General features: G+C 44.8%; 2 protein-coding genes across 5 annotated transcripts in view, besides 5 other annotated features; one reads left to right on the top strand and one right to left on the bottom strand.

Moving 5' to 3' along the window:
* Nucleotides 1-2,699: 2,699 nt before the first annotated feature.
* ATP5IF1 (ATP synthase inhibitory factor subunit 1) lies at nucleotides 2,700-4,676 on the bottom strand. Of its 3 annotated transcripts, none has more exons than NM_178190.3 (3): nucleotides 4,530-4,676; nucleotides 4,348-4,439; nucleotides 2,700-3,039 (listed from the first exon to the last, which is right to left on the bottom strand). In NM_178190.3, the coding sequence occupies exons 1-3, from the start codon at nucleotides 4,614-4,616 to the stop codon at nucleotides 3,003-3,005; spliced, it is 216 nt and encodes a 71-aa protein (NP_835497.1). In that variant the 5' UTR covers nucleotides 4,617-4,676; the 3' UTR covers nucleotides 2,700-3,002. The 3 variants fall into 3 exon arrangements, with proteins under 3 accessions (NP_835497.1, NP_057395.1, NP_835498.1); NM_016311.5 differs by having other exon boundaries at nucleotides 2,700-2,963; NM_178191.3 differs by having other exon boundaries at nucleotides 2,700-4,439.
* Nucleotides 4,418-4,477: an enhancer, noted in NCBI's record as "active region_591". NCBI's record gives its function as "activates an Ori minimal core promoter by ATAC-STARR-seq in GM12878 lymphoblastoid cells {active_cell/tissue: GM12878}" and the evidence as "EXISTENCE:reporter gene assay evidence [ECO:0000049][PMID:35858748]".
* Nucleotides 5,214-5,438: a silencer, noted in NCBI's record as "fragment chr1:28561873-28562097 (GRCh37/hg19 assembly coordinates)". NCBI's record gives its function as "represses an EF-1alpha promoter that drives an FKBP-Casp9 reporter gene in an ReSE screen in phorbol 12-myristate 13-acetate-treated (for megakaryocytic differentiation) K562 erythroleukemia cells {active_cell/tissue: K562(+PMA)}" and the evidence as "EXISTENCE:reporter gene assay evidence [ECO:0000049][PMID:32094911]".
* Nucleotides 5,214-5,777: a biological region, named in NCBI's record as "H3K27ac-H3K4me1 hESC enhancer GRCh37_chr1:28561534-28562040".
* Nucleotides 5,271-5,777: an enhancer, noted in NCBI's record as "H3K27ac-H3K4me1 hESC enhancer chr1:28561534-28562040 (GRCh37/hg19 assembly coordinates)". NCBI's record gives its function as "activates a minimal SCP1, AML or CMV promoter by ChIP-STARR-seq in naive H9 embryonic stem cells {active_cell/tissue: H9 hESC(naive)}" and the evidence as "EXISTENCE:reporter gene assay evidence [ECO:0000049][PMID:30033119]".
* Nucleotides 7,548-8,081: an enhancer, noted in NCBI's record as "H3K27ac hESC enhancer chr1:28559230-28559763 (GRCh37/hg19 assembly coordinates)". NCBI's record gives its function as "activates a minimal SCP1, AML or CMV promoter by ChIP-STARR-seq in naive H9 embryonic stem cells {active_cell/tissue: H9 hESC(naive)}" and the evidence as "EXISTENCE:reporter gene assay evidence [ECO:0000049][PMID:30033119]".
* The window catches only part of DNAJC8 (DnaJ heat shock protein family (Hsp40) member C8), a 32,752-nt gene continuing 20,329 nt past the window's right edge, over nucleotides 7,771-20,193 (top strand). Inside the window, exons 1-3 of one of the 2 annotated variants that reach the window (NR_159454.1) lie at nucleotides 7,771-7,879; nucleotides 10,548-10,669; nucleotides 11,777-11,878. Coding sequence is in view for 1 of the 2 variants with exons in the window: in NM_014280.3 (NP_055095.2) it covers nucleotides 7,802-7,879; nucleotides 11,777-11,878 (180 nt within the window). In the remaining variant the exon portion in view is untranslated. The remainder of the gene's footprint in view (nucleotides 7,880-10,547; nucleotides 10,670-11,776; nucleotides 11,879-20,193) is intronic. The other variant, NM_014280.3, reaches the window with a different exon arrangement.

The raw sequence follows: 20,193 nt of genomic DNA, 5'->3' as shown, positions 1-20,193 counted from the left end.
CCAGCAGATTCCATGAGAAACTACCTGTACTACAATGATCGTCAAACTTTGGTGCATACATGACAGAATCAACCGGAGGGCTTGTTAAAGGATTGCTGAGTCAAACCCCTCGTTTCAGCAGGTTTGTGGTGGGGCCTGAGAATTTACATTTCTTTTTTTTTTTTTTTTAGACGGAGTCTTGCTCTGTTGCCCAGACTGGAGTGCAGTGGTGCGATCTTGGCTCACTGCAACCTCCGCCTCCCGGTTCAAGCGATTCTTCTGCCTCAGCCTCCCGAGTAGCTGGGACTACAGGTGCCCGCCACCATGCTCAGCTAATTTTTGGATTTTTAGTAGAGACGGGGTTTTACCATATTGGCCAGGCTGGTCTCGAACTCCTGACCTTGTGACCCACCCACCTCGGCCTCCCAAATTGCTGGGATTACAGGCAAGAGCCACCGCGCCCTGCCGAGAATTTGCATTTCTAACAAGTTCCCAGGTGATGCTGACACTGCTGGCTCATGGAACCACTGCTGTAGTATTTTCCAAATTATCCTGATTCTAAGAACCACCTATGACCTGTGCTGTTTTTTCAGTGGTTACTGGCTCATGTCACATAAATTCTTTTAGGATTCAAACATGTTTGTGATATTACTCAGTATTTACATCTTGCTTTTACTGCAGCATGATAGAAAAATTAACCACAGGTATATCATAACAAAAAGACCATGAGTTACCATTTTCACAAAGTTCAGATATATTTAAATTAGCCTATTTAATCTTTTTTTGGTTGTTGTTGAGATGGAGTCTCACTCTGTCTCTCAGGCTGGAGTACAGTGGCACAATCTCAGCTCACTGCAACCTCTGCCTCCCAGGTTCAAGTAATTCTCCTGCCTCAGCCTCCCGAGTAGCGGGGATTACAGGTGCCCAACACCACACATGGCTAATTTTTGTATTTTTAGTAGAGATGGGGTTTTGCCATGTTAGCCAGGCTGGTCTTGAACTCCTGACCTCAGATGATCCGCCTGCCTCGGCCTCTCAAAGTGCTGGGATTACAGGCATGAGCCATCGCACCCAGCCTATGGTACACCTTTACTGAGGAAACAATTCAGGAACATCACTCTTAGTAAGGCAATTGTTGATTATAAGTCAAAAAAACACCATCATGTACAAATTCAGGGGATTTTGTATACCTTGTTTTTTTGGTTACAAATATGCAAAATTAAAGATGTTTGCTAATACTTGTTTCCAATTTTTAAACTTTTCAAGTGTTGCACTGTTAATAATGTTAAAATAAAAGGCATTTGACTTAGTATGATTGTTTCTTGAACTTCATCTTTTCAGGTTATTTTGTTGCTGGCCACTTGCAAGATTTATAGGCACTACTGAGGCCTCAGTGCTGAGATTCAGCAACATTATAATCATTATAATTCAAAGTTTAGTTTTTTGTTTTTTGTTTTTTTTTTTAAAGAGATGGGGTCAAAATGCTGCCCAGGCATGTCTGGAACTCCTGGGCTCAAGCAATCGTCTTGCCTCAGACTGCCAAGTAGCTGAACTGTAGGCACATACCACACCTGGCTGTGTTCAGTTTCATGGGCAAGTCAAACTATCTAGTGTTTTGTCTGTACAGACAAGGTCAATGCGACTTCTCCAAGCTTTTATCACTCAATGGTCCTACAGGCCCTTGTGAGATAGATAGGGTCTTAGAACAAATAACTCATTACAATCCTGGGCAAATACTCTACTGAACTGGTGAACTGAAAATGTTTTGCTAATGGCCCAAATGTCACCTCAAATTTTTTTGCCTAGAGGAGTTACACAACTAGTTTGTATAATAATTTAGTTATACTAGGCCCTCAAGTCTAATTTGAAACAAAATACTTGGCAAAGCAAAATATAACCTAAGAAATAATTCTGATTTTCTGCTAATAACAGACTTGGTTTAGTAGTCAAAAAACCTGGACACAAGTCTCACTGCCAAGGTGCTGAGTGACTGTATAAATCACATGATTTCTAATTCCAGTTCTCTCAATCTACAAAATTAGAACAAGGATGACTAGCTCATATTAAGTATCCTCTAAACCATTTTAAAAATGCAAAATGCTGTTTTAACTGATGGTACTTTCAATTGTATCTTTTTTTTTTTTTTTTTTGAGACAGAGTCTCATTCTGTCACCCAGACTGGAGTGCAGTGGCACAGTCTCGGCTCACTGCAACCTACACCTCCCAGGTTCAAGTGGTTTTCCTGCCTCAGCCTCCTGAGTAGCTGGGACTACAGGTGCGTGCCACCACACCTGGCTAATTTTTGTATTTTTAATAGAGATGGGGTTTTACTGTTGTCCAGGCTGGTCTTGAACTCCTGACCTCAGGTGATCCACCCACCTTGGCCTTCCAAAGTGCTGGGATTACAGGCATGAGCCACCGCACCTGGCCTAATTGTATCTTTTGAAGCAATGACTCCTTCGGATCTCCAGGATCCTCCTGATCTTTATGCTTCAGATTGGGATTTATCCTTCAGGAAGCTTTCTCTGAACACCTCTAATTAGACGGGGAGGGGTACTTTGTCTGTGTCACACCTATCCCCCCAACTCGTGTTGTTTCATAGCACTTATCACACTGTGCATTGTCTGTGGGTTCCTGGATGCAGGGACGCCTCTAATCCATTTTAGCAGTCCATTGGTGTCTGTCTATCTCTTCCAGATAGAAGAAGGCATCAAACACAGTTCACTGATGACAATTTATTATAATCTGTTAGTAGCACACAGACAAATATTAGTTAAACCAGAACCATGTCTACACAGAAGTGGGCAATGACATGTGCCATTCTATGGCACACGGTGTGCACTTAATCATCATGTTTTAGCATTTTGATCTTCTGCTTATGGCGCTCAATTTCTTTCTGCAGACGCTCAATCTCCTTCTTATGATGAACGATTTCTTCTTCATGGTGTTTTTTCAAAGCTGCCAGTTGTTCTCTACTCTGTGCTCTACAAGGACACGGTGGCTCAGGGTTTAATTTCAATCCTTCACCCCAAAGAGATCTCAAAGCATAACCTGTAATGTCTAAGCAAGGAATAGGAGTTCCAATTCCATGGGAGTCTAGCTGGTCATCCTCTTCTACTCCTCAACTAGTGAAAGAATACCCCATCTTAAATTGAGGTGTAGCCATCTTAAGAAGACCAAAGAGCTTATTGCTTTCAGATTCCTCTTTAAAATAGAAAACTCCAGAGAGATGTGACACAAGTCCCTAATACCTTATGAGGGGAACAACCCAGGGAACTTGACTCCCCTTTAGGGAAAAAAAAAGGAACAAAATGAGGAAGACAGACAAAGGGGTGTAGCTAAAAGGCAAATATCCATTTCCTATTCCAATCTGTCTAGAGCTTTCTTTGCCTATAGAAATGAATGGCCCACTGTAAGGCCAATAAAGGGTCTCTTGCATGCGCAGTACTTGGCAGTTCAATTTAGGTTCCAAGAAGGGACTGGATTACAATGTTGGTTTGGTCACATTTAGGCCTCAGTTTTCCTTAACTACAAAATGTAGGGGCTCAATTAGATAGTCTCTAACGGCTGTACCTTGGCTCTCTATACGGTATGGCAGGTGTCATGGTGATAATTCTCAACAGAAGGCAGAAGTGAAAGGCCAAAGGACAAGCAAAAGCAAGATTAATTCCTCACTGCTCTCCAGAGTGGACAGAAGTCAGTTAAAGATAACTCAAGGCTGGCAAAGGGAGGCCCAGCCCACTCCATACTCCTAAGCAGGAGAGGGAAATCTACAGGTCTAGGTTGGGCTGAGTAGGGCAAAAGCCTTTAGAAGATGGTGTCCAACCATAAGTAGCTCCCATGACCAGCTCCCATCATCCTCACTCTTGCGGAGTCGGGGGTCTAGAAACACCTGAGAAGCCTGAATGCATGCAGGCTTGCAAAGCTAAGGCGTGCTGGCGAGGAAGGAGAGCGTAGAGGGGGTGACAGGTGGGTAAGGGCCGAGGGAGTCAGGCTGGGAGGCAAACGTTGGGCGGTCGGATCTAGACACTGTGCGAAGAATCTGGGGGTGTTTCGCACGACCTGAGGAGAACTCCACGCGGGAGATGGTAATGATAAAGGAGGAGTTGAGCCGTGGGTTGTTTTGGAGACCCGCCGGTGGAAACGGTTTGGGGGCCTGAAACTGTTGTGCAGGTAACTGGGAGTGCCCTATACGTGGCAACGGTCGGGACATCAAGGGTTAGGGTATACTGGATTGGGGCCCGGGAGTTCTGTTGGGGGATGGGGCGCCCAAGGCACCAGGTAGGAACGGGTGGGGCGATTGGCAGTTTAAGGATTGGAAGGCCATTGGGAGATCCAGGGCTGGACTTGGGACCCGGTGAGCCTCACCGGAAATATCGTTCCTCTTCAGCCTGCTCTCTCTTTCCGAAGGCCCCACCGGCTTCCCGGATGGAGCCCGCGCCCCGGTCGACATTCTCGGACTGCAGAGAGACAGGGACACTGGTAAAGGTACGGAAGCAAAGATGGGATCCGCCCGCGGGGCTGGAGCAGCGGACACTGCCGCAGCGTACCTGATCCGAGCCGAAGCCTCGGGCTTGCATGGTCCTCACGCCCCACACGCCAAGCCACGTCCGCGCCGCCAACGCCGTCACTGCCATTGCTGCTGGAGCTGCACCTCTGGCGTCTCTGCCGCAGCAAGCAGTCTCTCGTTACGCGCTAATGGCAGGGACGGCCAAGCACCCAATCTGGTCGACGGAGGGGCGGATGAACACAGGAGTAGCGAATCACGGGAGAGCGGAGGCGGGCTTCCCGGAGCTCACAGCGAATCCCGAGCAAGAGACGGGTTTCTTCTTAGCCAACCGCTAGCAAGGGCTTAGGGCCAAAGGACTGGAAAGAGGAATGATGGAGGAGTTTAGAGAGCTGAGTGAGGAGAGTGCCAGAAGCCGAAATTTCGGCTCTTGGACCCATCAGAATGAGGCGTGGCGTCCACCTCCAGCCCACGATTTCAATTCTAAAGTCGTTATTATTCAAAGCCCAAAGGAAGTTTTCCCTTCCCTGGCCTGCTAGCATCAATAAAATGGGGGAATTCGGGGTTTGGGAGCTGTGTCCAGGATGCTGATGTCCAGGATACCGACGTCCAATGTGCCCTGGCTTAGATATACATAAATCGCGTTCATTTGTTATGAGAAGTGTCAGTGTTCTGGCTGGGCGCGGTGGCTCACGCCTGTAATCCCAACACTTTGGGAGGCCGAAGTGGGTGGATCACCTGAGGTCCGGAGTTCGAGACCAGCCTGGCCAACATGGGGAAACCCCGTCTCTACTAAAAATACAAAAATCAGCCGGGTGCGGTGGCACGCGACTGTAATCGCAGCTACTCAGGAGGCTGAGACAGGAGAATTGGCTTGAACCCGGGAGGCGGAGGTTGCAGTGAGCCGAGATTGCGCAACTGCACTCCAGCCTGGTGACAAAGCGAGACTCCGTCTCAAAACAAAAAAAAAAAAAAGAAAACCCAAATTATAACTTGACCACCTCAGGCACAGTTTCCTAGGACCTCTTGAGGCTGTGTTTCCCCAAGCTATGGTCACTCATCTTGGCTCAGAATAAACCTTTTAAAAATATTTTAGTTTGTTTTTTTCGTTAGCAACATATTGTTGAATGGGCTTAATAACTGCACTTTTGGCAATGTGGTGCAATGCAGTAGAAAAGAGCAGGCCAGGCGCGGTGGCTCACACCTGTAATCCCAGCACTTTGGGAGGCCGAGGCGGGCAGATCACCTGAGGTTGGGAATTCGAGACCAGCTTGACCAACATGGAGAAACCCCATCTCTACTAAAAAAAAAATATGAAAAATTAGCTGGGCATGGTGGCGCATATCTGTAATCCCAGCTACTCGGGAGGCTGAGGCAGGAGAATCGCTTGAACCTGAGAGGCAGGGGGTGCAGTGAGCTGAGATCACGCCATTGCACTCCAGCCTGGTCAACAAGAGAGAAACTGTCTCAAAAATAAATAAATAAAAATAAAAAATAAATTAGCTAGGCGTGGTGGCACATGCCTGTAATCCCAGCTACTTGGGAGGCTGAGGCAGGAGAATGCTTGAACCCGGGAGGCTGAGGTTGCGGTGAGCTGAGATCACGCCATTGCACTGCGGCCTGGGTAACAAGAGCGAAACTCTGTCTCAAAAAAAAAAAAAAAAAAAAAAAAAAAGGATAAGTAGGAGTCTAGGGAAAGCTTGACCTTAACCTCCCTTCATCCATCTAATGAATGTGAACAAGACAACAGTAGTCTTTACTCTCATGAAGTTTATAGCTCTTCTCTAACTCATTTTCTCTTCTCTGTTTCTTCTTTTTTAGATGAGAGAATTGGGCCAGATTATCTACCTGATTGATGATTATAAAAATACCTTCTTTGGGGCTGGGCGTGGTGTCTCACACCTGTAATCCCAGCACTTCGGGAGGCCGAGGCGCATGGATCATGAGGTCAGGAGTTCGAGATCAGCCTGACTAACTCCGTCTCTACTAAAAATACAAAAATCAGCCGGGCGTGGTGACATGCGCCTGTAATCTCAGCTACTCAGGAGGTTGAGGCAGGAGAATTGCTTGAACCTGGGAGGCGGCGGTTGCAGTGAGCCAAGATCATGCCACTGCACTCCAGCCTGGGCAACAGAGCAAGCCTCTGCCTCAAAAAAACAAAACAAAACAAAACCTTCTTTGTTTTCTATGAAATAGTAAAACTGGCTTTATTGATTATATTTTAGTTGAGAAAATAGCAGCCCTACCTGGTATTTTGTTTAATTCCATTTATGTGAAATACGTATTCACATATTGTTTAACTCCATTTATGTGAAATATCCAGAATAGGTAAATCCATATAGATAGAACACAGATTGCTTGTTTTCAGGGACTGGGGAGAGGGGGCGAATAGGGAGTAACTGCTTAATAGGTACTAGGTCTCCTCGGCCAGGCGCGGTGGCTCACGCCTGTAATCCCCGCACTTTGGGAGGCCAAGGCGAGCGGATTACGACGTCAGGAGATCGTAGACCATCCTGGCCAACATGGTGAACATCCGGCTTTACTAAAAATATAAAAATTAGCGGGGCATGGTGGCGTTTGTCTGTAATCTCAGCTACTCGGGAGGCTAAGGCAGAATTTCTGGAACCGGGGAGGCGCCACTGCACTCCAGCCTGGGTGACAGAGTGAGACTCCGTCTAAAAAAAAAAAGTAGATACTAAGTCTCCTTTTGAGGTGATGAAACTATTTTGGAACCAGGTAGACATGGTGGTTGCAGAACATTGTGAATGTTCTGAAGACAGCTGAGCCGGTCCGGCGCGGTGGCTCATGCCTGTAATTCCTGTACTTTGGGAGGCCTGGGCAACATGGCAAGACCCCGTCTCCACAAAAGTACATAAAATTAGCCGGGCATGGTGGCGCGCGCCTGCAGTCCCAGCTACTCGGGAGGCTGAAGTGAGAGGATCGCTTGAGCTTGGGAGGTCGAGGCTGCAGTGAGCTGTGATTGCACCACTCGACTCCAGCCTGGACGACAGAGATCCTGTCTCAAAAATAAATAAATAAATAAACCCACTGAATTATTCACTTTTTCTTTTATTCTTCTTATTATTTTTTACCTAACAATAACTTAAGCACATTATTTACTTTAAAGTGGTTAATTATATGTTATGTGTAATTCGTTTAAATTTTAAAAAGCCCACCTACTTTTAAAGTGCCTGGCTGGGCTGCGAGCCCTTTAAGAACCTCTCAGACGGGAGGCGGGGCTAGAGGAGCGGACCTGTAAGAATCACGTGAGGCGACGCCTGCGCAGAAGGGTCACGTGGTGGCTGGGCCGGGGAAATGGCGGCTTCAGGAGAGAGCGGGACTTCAGGCGGCGGAGGCAGCACCGAGGAAGCATTTATGACCTTCTACAGTGAGGTGAACACAGAGTGAGGAGTAGTGGCACCGGGGCGACCGCTCCCGGATCTGCTTTCCCAGTGGACAAAGGCAGTGGCCGCCTGGCCTGGACCGTTGGGCGATTCCTTCAGTCCAGTCTTCGGGGTGGCGGGGGTCTGGGGGTGTGTGAGCGTCTCCCACTGATAGCTGCTGGGAGATCCCCCGGGGCAACGAAAGAGGGAATGGTGTTCGATCTATCGAGGGAGGTGGCGAGTGTGTCCAACATAGTGCGGGCGCGCGGGCAGAGTGCCCCAAGTCCGCGGAGTCGGGGGCTGGCAGAGGCTGGGCCCTTCCTGGGAGTGACTTAGCCTTCTTGGCCCCCGAGACGTTTCTTAGTCCTTTGTAATGAGTTGTTTTAGTGGTTGTTTCTGCCATTCACGAACGCCAGGCACTGTGTATCATGCCAGTTAGGCATTATATTACCCCCATTTTACAGATGACGAACCTGAGCTTTAGGGAGGTGAAATAGTTTGGGGCCTTACAGTAGGTTACAGCTTGCTTGGTGGTATGTTAGGACAGCAGTGGGCTTGTTCTGAGCCTCCTTTACTATCGCATCTCCAGCGCATAGTATGTAGTGGATGCTCAGTAAATATTTGTTGAGTGAATGAATGAATAAATGAAATAAAAGCATGCCGTTTGGAGTCAGAATCTCAGATTAAATTATTGCAAGGGGCTGGGCACAGTGGCTCACATCTGTAATCCCAGCACTTTGGGAGGCCCAGGCGGGAGGAACCCAAAAGCTCGAGGCTGCAGTGACCTATGATCGGACCACTGCACTCCATTTTTGGCGAGAGTGAGACCCTGTCTCTTTAAAAAGAAGGAAAAAAAGGATAGAAAAAAAAATTCTTGGTTGGGCGCGGTGGCTCACGCCTGTAATCCCAGCACTTTGGGAGGCCGAGACGGGCGGATCACGAGGTCAGGAGATCGAGACCACGGTGAAACCCCGTCTCTACTAGAAATACAAAAAATTAGCTGGGCCTGGTAGTGGGCGCCTGTAGTCCCAGCCACTCGGGAGGCTGAGGCAGGAGAATGGCGTGAACCCGGGAGGCAGAGCTTGCAGTGAGCAGAGATCGCGCCACTGCACTCCAGCTTGGGTGACAGAGCGAGAGACTGTCTAAAAAAGAAAAAAATTCTTGGAAGACAGTTAACCTGACTGGACTGGGATTGAATTCTTTTTTTTTTTCCTAAGGCGGAGTTTTGCTCTTGTTGCCCAGGCCTGGAGTGCAGTGGCACGATCTTGGCCCACTGCAACCTCTGCCTCCCTGGTTCAAGTGATTCTCTCGCCTCAGCCTCCCGAGTAGCTGGGATTACAGGCGCCTGCCACCACGCCTGGCTAATTTTTGTATTTTTGGTAGAGACGGGGGTTTCACCATGTTGGCCAGACTGGTCTTGATCTCCTGACTTAAGGTCCTCCCGCCTCGGCCTCCCAAAGTTGCTGGGATTACAGGCTTGAGCCACCACGCCTGGCCGGGATTGAATTTGTTCAAGACATTAATTTTGCAGATCTTCATATTCCACATCTGTAAAAACAAGAGAGTTAATTTAATTTAATTTATTTATTTTGAGACAGAGCCTCACTCTTGCCCAAGCTGGAATGCACAACCTCTGCCTTCTGGGCTCAAGTGATTCTCCCACATCAGTAGCTGGGACTACAAGCTCAGGCCACCATGCCTGGCTGATTTTTGTATTTTTTTTGTTGTGACAGGGTCTTGTTGTGTTGCCCAGGCTGGTCTTAAACTCCTGGGCTCAAGCAATCCTCCCGTCTTGGCCTCCCAAAGTGTTGGGATTACAGGCATGAGCCACTGTGCTTGGCAAGAGAGTTAATTTTAAAATAAACATTTTCATGAGGACTAAAGTTATTGTATAAGAAAGCGTTTCATAAAAAAATAAAGCAGAAGCATCTTTCTCAGGGTTAAACAAGGCAGAAGATGGGACCTCTGTAGGGTGGCATGGGTTTGAGGAATGGAGTTGCCCCCCAGCAGGCTGTGAGCTATTCAGGGTTAAGGACCATATCACATCCATCTTTTATTTCTTGCAATTGTAACAGTACTTGTTACATAGTAGTTTCTCCAAAGTATTACATTTAGGTCTAGACACCTGGCAGGCACTGCCTGTAGTCTCAGCTGCCCGGAAGGCTGAGGCAAGAGGACTGGAGGATGACTTGAGCCCAGGAGGTGGAGGTTGCAGTGAGCCATGATCTGTCTTCTGTCACTGCAGTACACCCTGGGTGACAGAGCAAGACCCCTTCTCAAAAAACAAAAACAAACAAAAAACCAAATGGCAACCTTTGTTTGAATTGGATGGGAAAAAATATCTAAGGAAGGGTAATTCAGTCATTTTTTTAAAAAATAGAGACAAGGTCTTGCCATGTTGCTCAGGTTGGTCTTGAATTCCTGCACCCAAGTGATCCTCCTGCCTCAGACTCCCAAAGTGCTGGGATTACAGGCATAAGCCACCACACTGGCCTCATTCATTTAACAGATGTTTATTGAACATTGGAAATGTACTAGTTTGCTATTTAGGTGTTGAGGATACGGTAGTGAACAAGAGAGAAAAAAAATCCTGTTTTCATAGAGTGAAGAGGGAAGATGTCTAGAAGGAATGACTTTTTATGTTAATGAAATTCTTTCCAACCTTGTTTTGGCTATAGGAATAAAGATGGCATATAGCATACCAGAGATTCATTCCAACTAGCATTCCAACTCTGACAGTGACACCAAGAATGTTTTCCTGGGACTGCCTGGTGCTTGTTCTCCCTGGCATTGTCTTCAGGTCAGGGATTTTTCTTTTTTCTTTCTTTCTTTTTTTTAAATTAAAAATAGAGATGGGGTTTCGCCATGTTGCCCAGGCTTGTCTCAAACTCCTGAGCTCAAGCAATCCACCCACCTCAGCCTCCCAAAATGTTGGGATTACAGGTGACAGCTACTCCGCCTGGCCAAGTCAGGGATTTTTTCTAACACTATTAGAATTAGGTGGTGGAGTTGTTTGTTCCTTCCCATCAACAGTTTTAAATGCTGCTCATAGTTTATGTCTTACTGTGATTGTATTTTTCCTTTTTTTGCTCTTTAAATTTTTTTCTTTATTTTTTTTCCTCACAGAGAAATCTCTTACTTTTTTTTTTTCTTTTTTGAGACGGAGTCTCGCTGTGTCTCCCAGGCTGGAGTCCAGTGGCGCGATCTTGGCTCACTGCAACCTCTGTCCCTGGGGTTCAAGCGATTCTCCTGCCTCAGCCTCCCAAGTAGCTGGGACTACACGCCATGCCACCATGCCCAGCTAATTTTTTGTATTTTTAGTAGAGACGGGGTTTCACCATGTTGGCCAGGATGGACTCCATCTCCTGACCTCATGATCTGCCCACCCCCCAGCCTCCCAAAGTGTTGGGATTACAGGCGTGAGCCACTGTGCCCAGCCTATTTTTTTTTTCTTAAAATTAAAAGCTATAAATGAAGTATAATCACACACAAGCACATCTTCCATCATTAAAGTGGAAGTTCTTTAAAGGCTGTGACTTATTTATCTTTGAATCCTCTTGATGCCTGCTGTGGGGTCAAACTGTTGGGGTTAAAATTCTGGCTTACAAGTTGGGTAATTGGGAACAAGTCAGTTACCTTCTCTAAGCCTCAGTATTCTTATCTGTGAATTGGGTATAACAGCAGTATCTACCACATAGGGTTGTTGAGATTAATAAATACATGTAAGGTTTTTATATTAAAATTCAACAAATGGTAGTTTTAATTTCTCAAAGCATTTAGCAAAATGTCTTGCACATGGTAAACACACAAATAAATGTTTGTTGAACATATCAGTGAACATTTTGTTAAGATAATTCAGTTTGTTATTGAATTCTATTAATGAAGTTTTTAATCCTCATAATTTTAGGTGAAACAAATAGAGAAGAGAGACTCGGTTCTAACTTCGAAAAATCAGATTGAAAGACTGACCCGTCCTGGTTCCTCTTACTTCAATTTGAACCCATTTGAGGTGAGCCGATTGATGTTGCTAGGGCCTCTGTAATGGGGGAGATTTGCATAGCTGCAGGCATACCTACATCAGAATACATACCTAATTTATATCATAGTTAGGATTGAGAAAAATGGTGGAGTAAAGTGATGGAATCTGTATAGTACAAAATTGAGTATTCCTTATCCAAAATGCTTGGGACCAGAAGTTTTTTGGATTTTGGATTTTTTTGGGATTTTGGAATATATACATACATTCTGCTTACTTACTGGTTGAAGCATCCCAAATTAGAAAATTCAGAATGTTAATGAGCATTTTCTTTGAGCATCAGTTGACTCTCAGAAAGTTTCAGATTTTGGAGCATTTTGGATTTTGCATTTTTGGATTAGGGATATGTAACCTGTATATAGATTGTCTTTAAACTTGGGTGATTGTACCGAGCAGAACTGGAGAGACAGCATGTTAAGGAAAGTGAGATGGTCACATATCTTTCATCATCTTTTAGCAACCCAAATATATAAGGATTTAATTTCAGATGTGAAGGGGTGGCTAGCTCTAATAAGTTTAGGATTCTTTTTTTTTTTTTTTTTTTTTGAGACGGAGTCTTGCTCTGTCCCCCAGGCTGGAGTGCAGTGGCGCGATCTTGACCCACTGCAACCTCCTTCTCCCAGGTTCAAGCAATTCTCCTGCCTCAGCCTCCCGAGTAGGTGGGATTACAGGTGCCCACCACTGTGCCTGGCTAATATTTGTATTCTTAGTAGAGATGGGGTTTCACCATGTTGGCCAGGCTGGTCTCGAACTCCTGACCTTGTGATCCACCCGCCTCAGCCTCCCAAAGTGCTGGGATTACAGGCGTGAGCCACTGCGCCCAGCCTAGGATTCTTGATTTAAACTACTTGTTAAAACTTCTGTTTCACTATAATAAATGCCAAAAACCCAACAACAACAAAACAAAGATCACAAGATTTTAGATAAATGAATATACTTTTTGATTTTCTTAATTTTATAGCTTTAAACTTTTCCTGGTTATAAAAGTAAATCATATTTGTTGCAAATGTACAGAAAGCAAGAATAATCATATATAATCCCACCTAAGAGAAATAGCCACTCCTGTTTACACTCAAACTGTTTTGCTTAAAAACAGGGAGCATCATACACTTAATCCTTCTTCTTCTTCTTCTTCTTTTTCTTTTTTAAAGAGATGGGGCCTCATTATGTTGCCCAGGCTGGCTTAGAACTCGTGGGCTTAAGTGATCTCCTTGACCTGCTCAGCCTCTGGAGTAGATGGGATTACAGGCATATGACACCACACCTGGCTCAGCTCAATACGATTTTATTTTATTTTATTTTTTTGAGACAGGGTCTCACTGTCACCCAGGCTAGAGTGCAGTGGTGCAATCATGGCTTACTGCACCCTTGAACTCCTGGGTTCAAACGATTTGCCCACCTTGGGCTCCCATAGTGCTAGGATTACAGCCATTCGCCACCATGTCCAGCCTCAGTGCTGTTTTAAATGCTTTTTTTTTTTTTTTTTTGAGATGAAGTCTCACTCTGTCACCTAAGCTGGAGTGTAATGGTGCAATCTTGGCTCACTGCACCTCCGCCTCCCAGATTCAAGTGTTTCTCTTGCCTCAGCCTCCCGAGTAGCTGAGATTACAGGTGCCTGCCTCCATGCTTGGCTAATTTTTGTATTTTTAGTAGAGACGGGGTTTTGCCATATTGTTCAGGTTGGTCTCGAACTCCTGAGCTCAGGCGATCCACCTGTCGCGGCCTCCCAAAGTGCTAGGATTATAGGTGTGAGCCACCGCGCCTGTCCAAAAAAAAAAAAAAAAAAAAAAGAGAGAGAGAGAAATTCTTTTTTTTTTTTTGCAATGCTTGACAAGATGTTAAATCTGTTAACATCTTTAATCATAAATGAACTCTTCAGAACTCAGTACAGACTAACATTACACGGAAAGTGAAAATAAAAGGAACAGAGGAAAATGGAATAGTACAAATGAGTTATAAGGCTATATGAAGATGATATATAGTTAATACTAATAGTTGAGAAAGCAATTTTATTATAAATTACATTATTTGTGCTTACAAATATTGATATCTGATGTTGGTACAGCTTTAGAAAATGAAGAATTCTCAAATACTGAGGAAACTTACTCTAGTCATGAGGAGTTTACTCAAAAATGTAGATTTGTGCATAAATTTGGCCCCAGCAGTTCCAAACCACAGCAATCACTCCAACAAAGTAGTTGGGTACACACACATATACATACATGTTTACTACACAATAGATGTGTAAGTAATATGTCACCCCCCAAGAAACTTTTTATGAACTGGTTATAAAATAATAGACTGGGGGGTAAAAAAAATTCCATATAATTTATTTAATCATTTCTTTATTGTGGAATAGTTTAGCTAGTTTATTTCTTTCTAAAATTTTTTTTTTTGAGATGGAGTCTCTGTCGCCCAGGCTGGAGTGCAGTGGCGCAATCTCGGCTCACCGCAACCTCTGCCTCCCGGGTTCAAGCGATTCTTCTGCCTCAGCCTCCCGAGTAGCTGGGACTACAGGCATGTGCCACCACGCCTGGCTAATTTTTGTATTTTTTGTAGAGATGGGTTTCACCATATTGGCCAGGCTTTTCTCAAACTCCTGACCTTGTGATCTGCCTGCCTCGGCCTCTCAAAGTGCCGTGATTACAGACGTGAGCCACCACACCCAGATCTTTAAAAAGTTTTTTTAACAGGCGGCCCTCTGAACCAGAATAGGTTCAGAGAGACTCCCTAAACTACTTTCTAATTGTTCACATTTACAAATAATTTTGAAGTGAATATTTTTGTATCTGTTAAATAATAGAAACAACACTTATTGGGCACTTAGAAAAAAACTCCCCTCACTTTTTTTTATTGTGGAAAAATATATATAACATAAAATTTGCCATTTTGGCCAGGTGTGGTGGCTCACGCCTGTAATCTCAGCACTTTGGGAGGCCAAGGTGGGAGGATCACTTTAGGCCAGGAGTTTGAGACCAGCCTGGCCAACATGGCGAAACCCCATCTCCACAAAAATAATACAAACATTGCTGGGCATGGTGGTGCATGCCTGTAATCTCAGCTACTTGGGAGGCTAAGGCCCAAGAATCACTTAAACCCAGGAGGCGGAGGTTGCAGTGAGCCGAGATTGTGCTACTGTACTCCAGCCTGGGCGACAGAACGAGACTGTCTCAAAAAAAAAAAAAAAAATTACCATTTAAATTTTTTTTTAGTTTTACAATTCAGTGGCATTAAGTACATTCACAGTGTTGTGTAACCATCACCACTGTTCATATTCAGAAATTTTTCGTCACCCCAACCAGAAACTCTGTATCCACTAAACAGTAACTCCTCATTTTCTCCCTGACCCCTGGTAACCTCTACTCTACTTTGTCTATGAATTTGCCTCTTCTAGGAAACCCGTGTAAGTGGAATGGTACCGTATTTGTTACTTTGTGTCTGGCTTATTTCACTTAGCATGATATTTTCAAGGTTCATCTGTTTTCTGTTTTTTGAAGAGTAATTTTTCAAGAATTTTTTCATTTATAAATAATCTCAGATTAACAAATATTTCAAATACAATATGAAGACTTTTCCTTGAACTCTTTAAGAGTAAATTGTTAGTATGATGGTCCATCACCCTGATATACTTTAATGTGATTTTTCTACAAATATCCTCTTACTGAACCACAATATAAACTATCAAAATCAGGAAATGAACCCTGATACATTGTTACTATGTAAATCATCAGACCCCATTCAAATTTTACTAATTGTCCCAAAAAAGTCTTTCTCAGGGCCTCTCTGGATACATTGTTACTATATAATCATCAGACCCCATTCAGGTTTTACTAATTGTCCCAAAAAGGTGTTTTTCAGGGCCTCTCTATCACTCCGCTCACTGTATAGCTCACTGCAACCTCGAACTCCTGGGCTCTGGGCTCAATTGATCCTCCTACCTCAGATTTTCAAAATACTGGGATTCAAGGTGTGAGCCACTGTGTTTGGCTCTTTGGTTTGTTTGTTTGTTTCGTGACAGAGTCTCACTCCACTGCCCAGACTGGAGTGCAGTGGCGCAATATCGGTTCACTGCAACCTCCGCCTCACGGGTTCAAGTGATTCTCCTGACTCAGCCTCCCTGGTTGCTGGGATTACAGGAGCGTGCCACCATGCCCTGCTAATTTTTTGTATTTTTAGTAGAGATGGGGTTTCACCAAGCTGGCCAGGCTTGTCTCGAACTCCTGACCTCATGATCCGCCCTCCTCAGCCTCCCAAAAAGTGCTGGGATTTCAGGCGTGAGCCACCACACCTGGCGTGTTTGTTTTGTTTTGTAAGATGGGGTCTCCCTGGCCAGGCGCGGTGGCTCACACCTGTAATTCCAACACTTTGGGAGGCTGAGGCGGGCAGATCACTTGAGGTCAGGAGTTCAAGACCAGCTTGGCTAACATGGTGAAACCCTGTCTCTACTAAAAATAAAAAAATTAACCGGGTGTGATGGAGTGCCCCTGTAATCCCAGCTACTTGGGAGGCTGAGGCAGGAGAATTGCTTGAACCTGGGAGGCAGAGGTTGCAGTGAGCCGAGATTGCACCATTGCACTCCAGCCTGGGCGACAGAGTGAGACTCCATCTCAAAAATAAAAAGAAGTGTCATGAGGTTACTATTTTTCCCCTTTGTAATGAATAAGTATTTTATGTGGAGGTGCTTTGAAACTTGGTAAATATCCTGTCCATATCAAAATTTTAGTTCATTTATTTGCCAGTATGGACTTAGGTTTTTCTATTTTATTCAGTACGTTGTAATTTTATGTTTATTTTGATGCTCAGATTGTCTCAAGTTTGGCCAGTGGGTTACCTTTCAATCTAGCTCCTGTGTCTTTCATATGTCTTCATCATTCTTTGATTAGTAGGCACTTTTGTGTTTTTCCTGACCCAGCCTGGAATTAACCATTTCACCAAGGAGCGCTGGTTCCTTTTGGCAGAGAATGATATATAGAAATCAAGATTTGAATGCTAGGTAGATTCATTGCTGTTGGGATATCACAGCTTACAGACCCTGGAGTCTGTGTGTTTGTGTGTGTACATATATGTTTACACCCAACATCCATTTTCAGTCCAACCCCACAGGATTTATTCTAATAGTTAGAAACCTGGTTCCCACTATCTTTTCTTTATTATTATTCTTTTTTTCTTTTTTTTTTTTTTGTAAAGACAAGGTCTCACTATGTTGCCCAGGTTGATCACAAACTCTTGGCCTCAAATGATCCTCCCTTGGCCTCCCAAAGTACTGGGATTGATTATAGCATTACAGCCAGTGCACCTGGCGCTGGCTCCTACAGAATTTAATATCTACATTTACTTAATTGATCTCTCTGTATGCAACTAACTTCCCACTGCCACTCCTTCCCTCTGAATGCTCTCCTCACCCCGCTGTACTCTGATACCAGCACCAGGATATGTCTATGCAAAAACCTTTCTCACCACACCTGGGCTCTGAACTCCCATGTCAGGCCACCCTTCCATGTGGCTCTCTGGCTTTCTGAGCCTGCTCTCTTCCTGCTGGGGGCCCTTTTCACTGATCATGGGCTCCAGCATCCCACACTGATCCTCCCCGCTGAGTAGGCATCTTCCCTACCCTGCTCTGGCTTTGACATCCTCCGTCAAGCCACCTTCTTCCATGAACACCTTTCTCCTCTTACTCGGGGTCTGGCTCCACATACCATGTCTCTTTTCATATTTTTTGGGCTCTGAACCTTGTGTTGGGCTGCCTTTTCACACTGGATGCCCTACTACTTGGACACCCTTCTCACCATACCAGGCTTCCATACCCCATGCTTGGCTGCCCTTTGTGGGAATGTCCTTGCTTGGGTTCTTGTACCCTGTGCCAGGCTACCTTCCCCTGTGGACACCCTCCGTACCTTGCTTGGTCTCAGACACCCTGTGTTGGATTCTACTTCCACACGGATGCTTTCCTCATCCCTCTTGGGCCCTGATATCCTGCGCTGGCTGCCCTCCCATGCTGACATTTTCCCCCTGCTTAGGTTCTGATGTTCCTGTGCTGGCCTCCCTGTCTATGGGGATGCCTTTCTGAACTTCTTTGTACACCATGTTAGGCTGTCCTTCTCTGTGGATGCCCTTCTCACCCCATTTGGGCTTCAGCACCCTGTGACTAGCCACTACTTTCTGTGTGGTCACTGCCTTCCTTGTTCCAGGTGGGCTCTGACACTGTGCTCTGGGCCATGTGACTCCCACCCAGAGTAGACGTCTGTTTTGCCTGACCCCACTTAATGGATTTGGATTTATTGCTTAGGAAGGGAAGGGGGAGATAAAAAGCTTGAAGATTACTTTTTTTTTCAATTTTTAAAATTGTAAAATACACATAACATAAAATTTACCATCTTAACCAGTTCATTTTTTTTTTTTTTTTTTTTTTGAGATGGAGTCTTGCTTTATCACCCAGGCTGGAGTGTAGTGGCGTGATCTCGGCTTACTGCAACCTCCGCCACCTGGATTCAAGCAATTCTCCTGTCTCAGCCTCCTGAGTAGCTGGGACTACAGGTGCATGCCACCACATCCGGCTAATTTTTGTATTTTTGGTAGAGATGGGGTTTCACCATGTTAGTCAGGCTGGTCTCGAACGCCTGACCTCAGGTGATCCACCCGCCTCAGCCTCCCAAAGTGCTGGGATTACAGGTGTGAGCCACTGTGCCCAGCCAGTTCATTGTTTTTAAATACACTCATAGTGTTGTCCAACCATTACTATTATCCATCCTCATAACTCTTTTCATCTTGTAAAACTGAAATTGTATACCCATTAAACAATAATTCCGCATTCCTCCCTCCCCAGCCCCTGGTAACCACCATTCTACTTTTTGTCTCTATGACTTTGACCAAGTACCTCATATAAAAGGAATCATAGTGTTTGCCTTTTCGTGACTGGCTTATTTCATCTAGTACAATGTCTTGGGTTCTTCAATGTTGTAGCATATTGTAGAATTTCCTTCTTTTTAAGGCTGAATGGTAATCTGTTGTATGGATATACCACATTTTGCCTATTCATTCATCCGCTGATGGACATGGGTTGTTCTACATCTTAGCTATTGAGAAAAGTGTTGCTATAAACATGGATGTATAAATATTGAAGAGTACTTTTGATATGATTTTGGGGAGGGCCTAGGGGAAGATGATTTGCTGGAGAGATGATAAAGAATTTATGGTATGTTCTTTCTATCTAGCCATACTTTAAAATCGAGCATAGTACCATGAAAGGGAACATATGACCATATAATTTATTTTTTGTTAAGGTAATTAGTATCTCCTGTGGGGACCTGATGGATGAGAAGGGACAGATTGTTGGGCATCAGTGTGAAACGCTAGGATTTTAGTGCCCTATTAGTTATTGTAGTTCTGAAAGTGGAACTCATTGCCCTGTAGCCTTTGTTCTCACTATAGGAAGTATGTTTAGATGTGTGACGATATGGTGAGTTTGCACGCTCTGAAAGCTGCAAGATTGTGTTTGAGTGGGCAGGACTCCCTGACTGTTCTTTCTTTCTTTGTTTCTTTCTCTTTTTCCCTTTTTGAGACAGAGTTTCCTTCTTGTTGCCCAGGCTGGAGTGCAGGGGCACGATCTCGGCTTACTGCAACCTCCGCCTCCCGGGTTCAAGCAATTCTCCTGTCTCAGTCTCCCGAGTAGCTGGGACTACAGGCGCCCGCCACCACGCCCGGCTAATTTTTTGTATTTTTCATAGAGACGGGGTTTCACTATGTTAGCCAGGATGGTCTCGATCTCCTGACCTCGTGATCCACCCGCCTCAGCCTCCCAAAGTGCTGGGATTACAGGCGTGAGCCACCGCGCCCAGCCTGGATTCCTTTTTCAAGCAGAAGATCCTAAAGGAGATGGCTGTTACATTTTGAGTTCAGGAACTTATCTGAATGCAACAGTTAAGCATTTTTGTTTCTGTGTGATGATTAATTAGCTCCCTGAGGTTCAAAACTGTGGGTCTCTCCCTCCATATCCTAAAAGCCTGAGACGCAACAGGAGTTCAGAAAAACCTTCCAAGAATCTGAACAGACCTGTGTGCTTGGAGCCATGTTGGTAATAAGGCATTTATCATTTTTGTCAGAATTACTTGTTACTTGTCTCTCCCTTATCTACTGTGAGAACAGTAATTCTTAAATTCTGTGAGGACAGTAGAGCTGTGGTTAGAATGTGTCCCCCAAATTCATGTGTTAGAAATTTAATCCCAATGCAACAGCTTTTCAGGGTAGGGCCTAATAAGAGGTGATTAGGTCTCTGCCCTCACAATTGGATT

The sequence above is a fragment of the Homo sapiens genome, chromosome 1 (genome assembly GCF_000001405.40).
Source record: "Homo sapiens chromosome 1, GRCh38.p14 Primary Assembly".
Lineage (NCBI taxonomy): Eukaryota > Metazoa > Chordata > Mammalia > Primates > Hominidae > Homo > Homo sapiens.
This window is presented reverse-complemented; position numbering and strand designations above follow the sequence as displayed.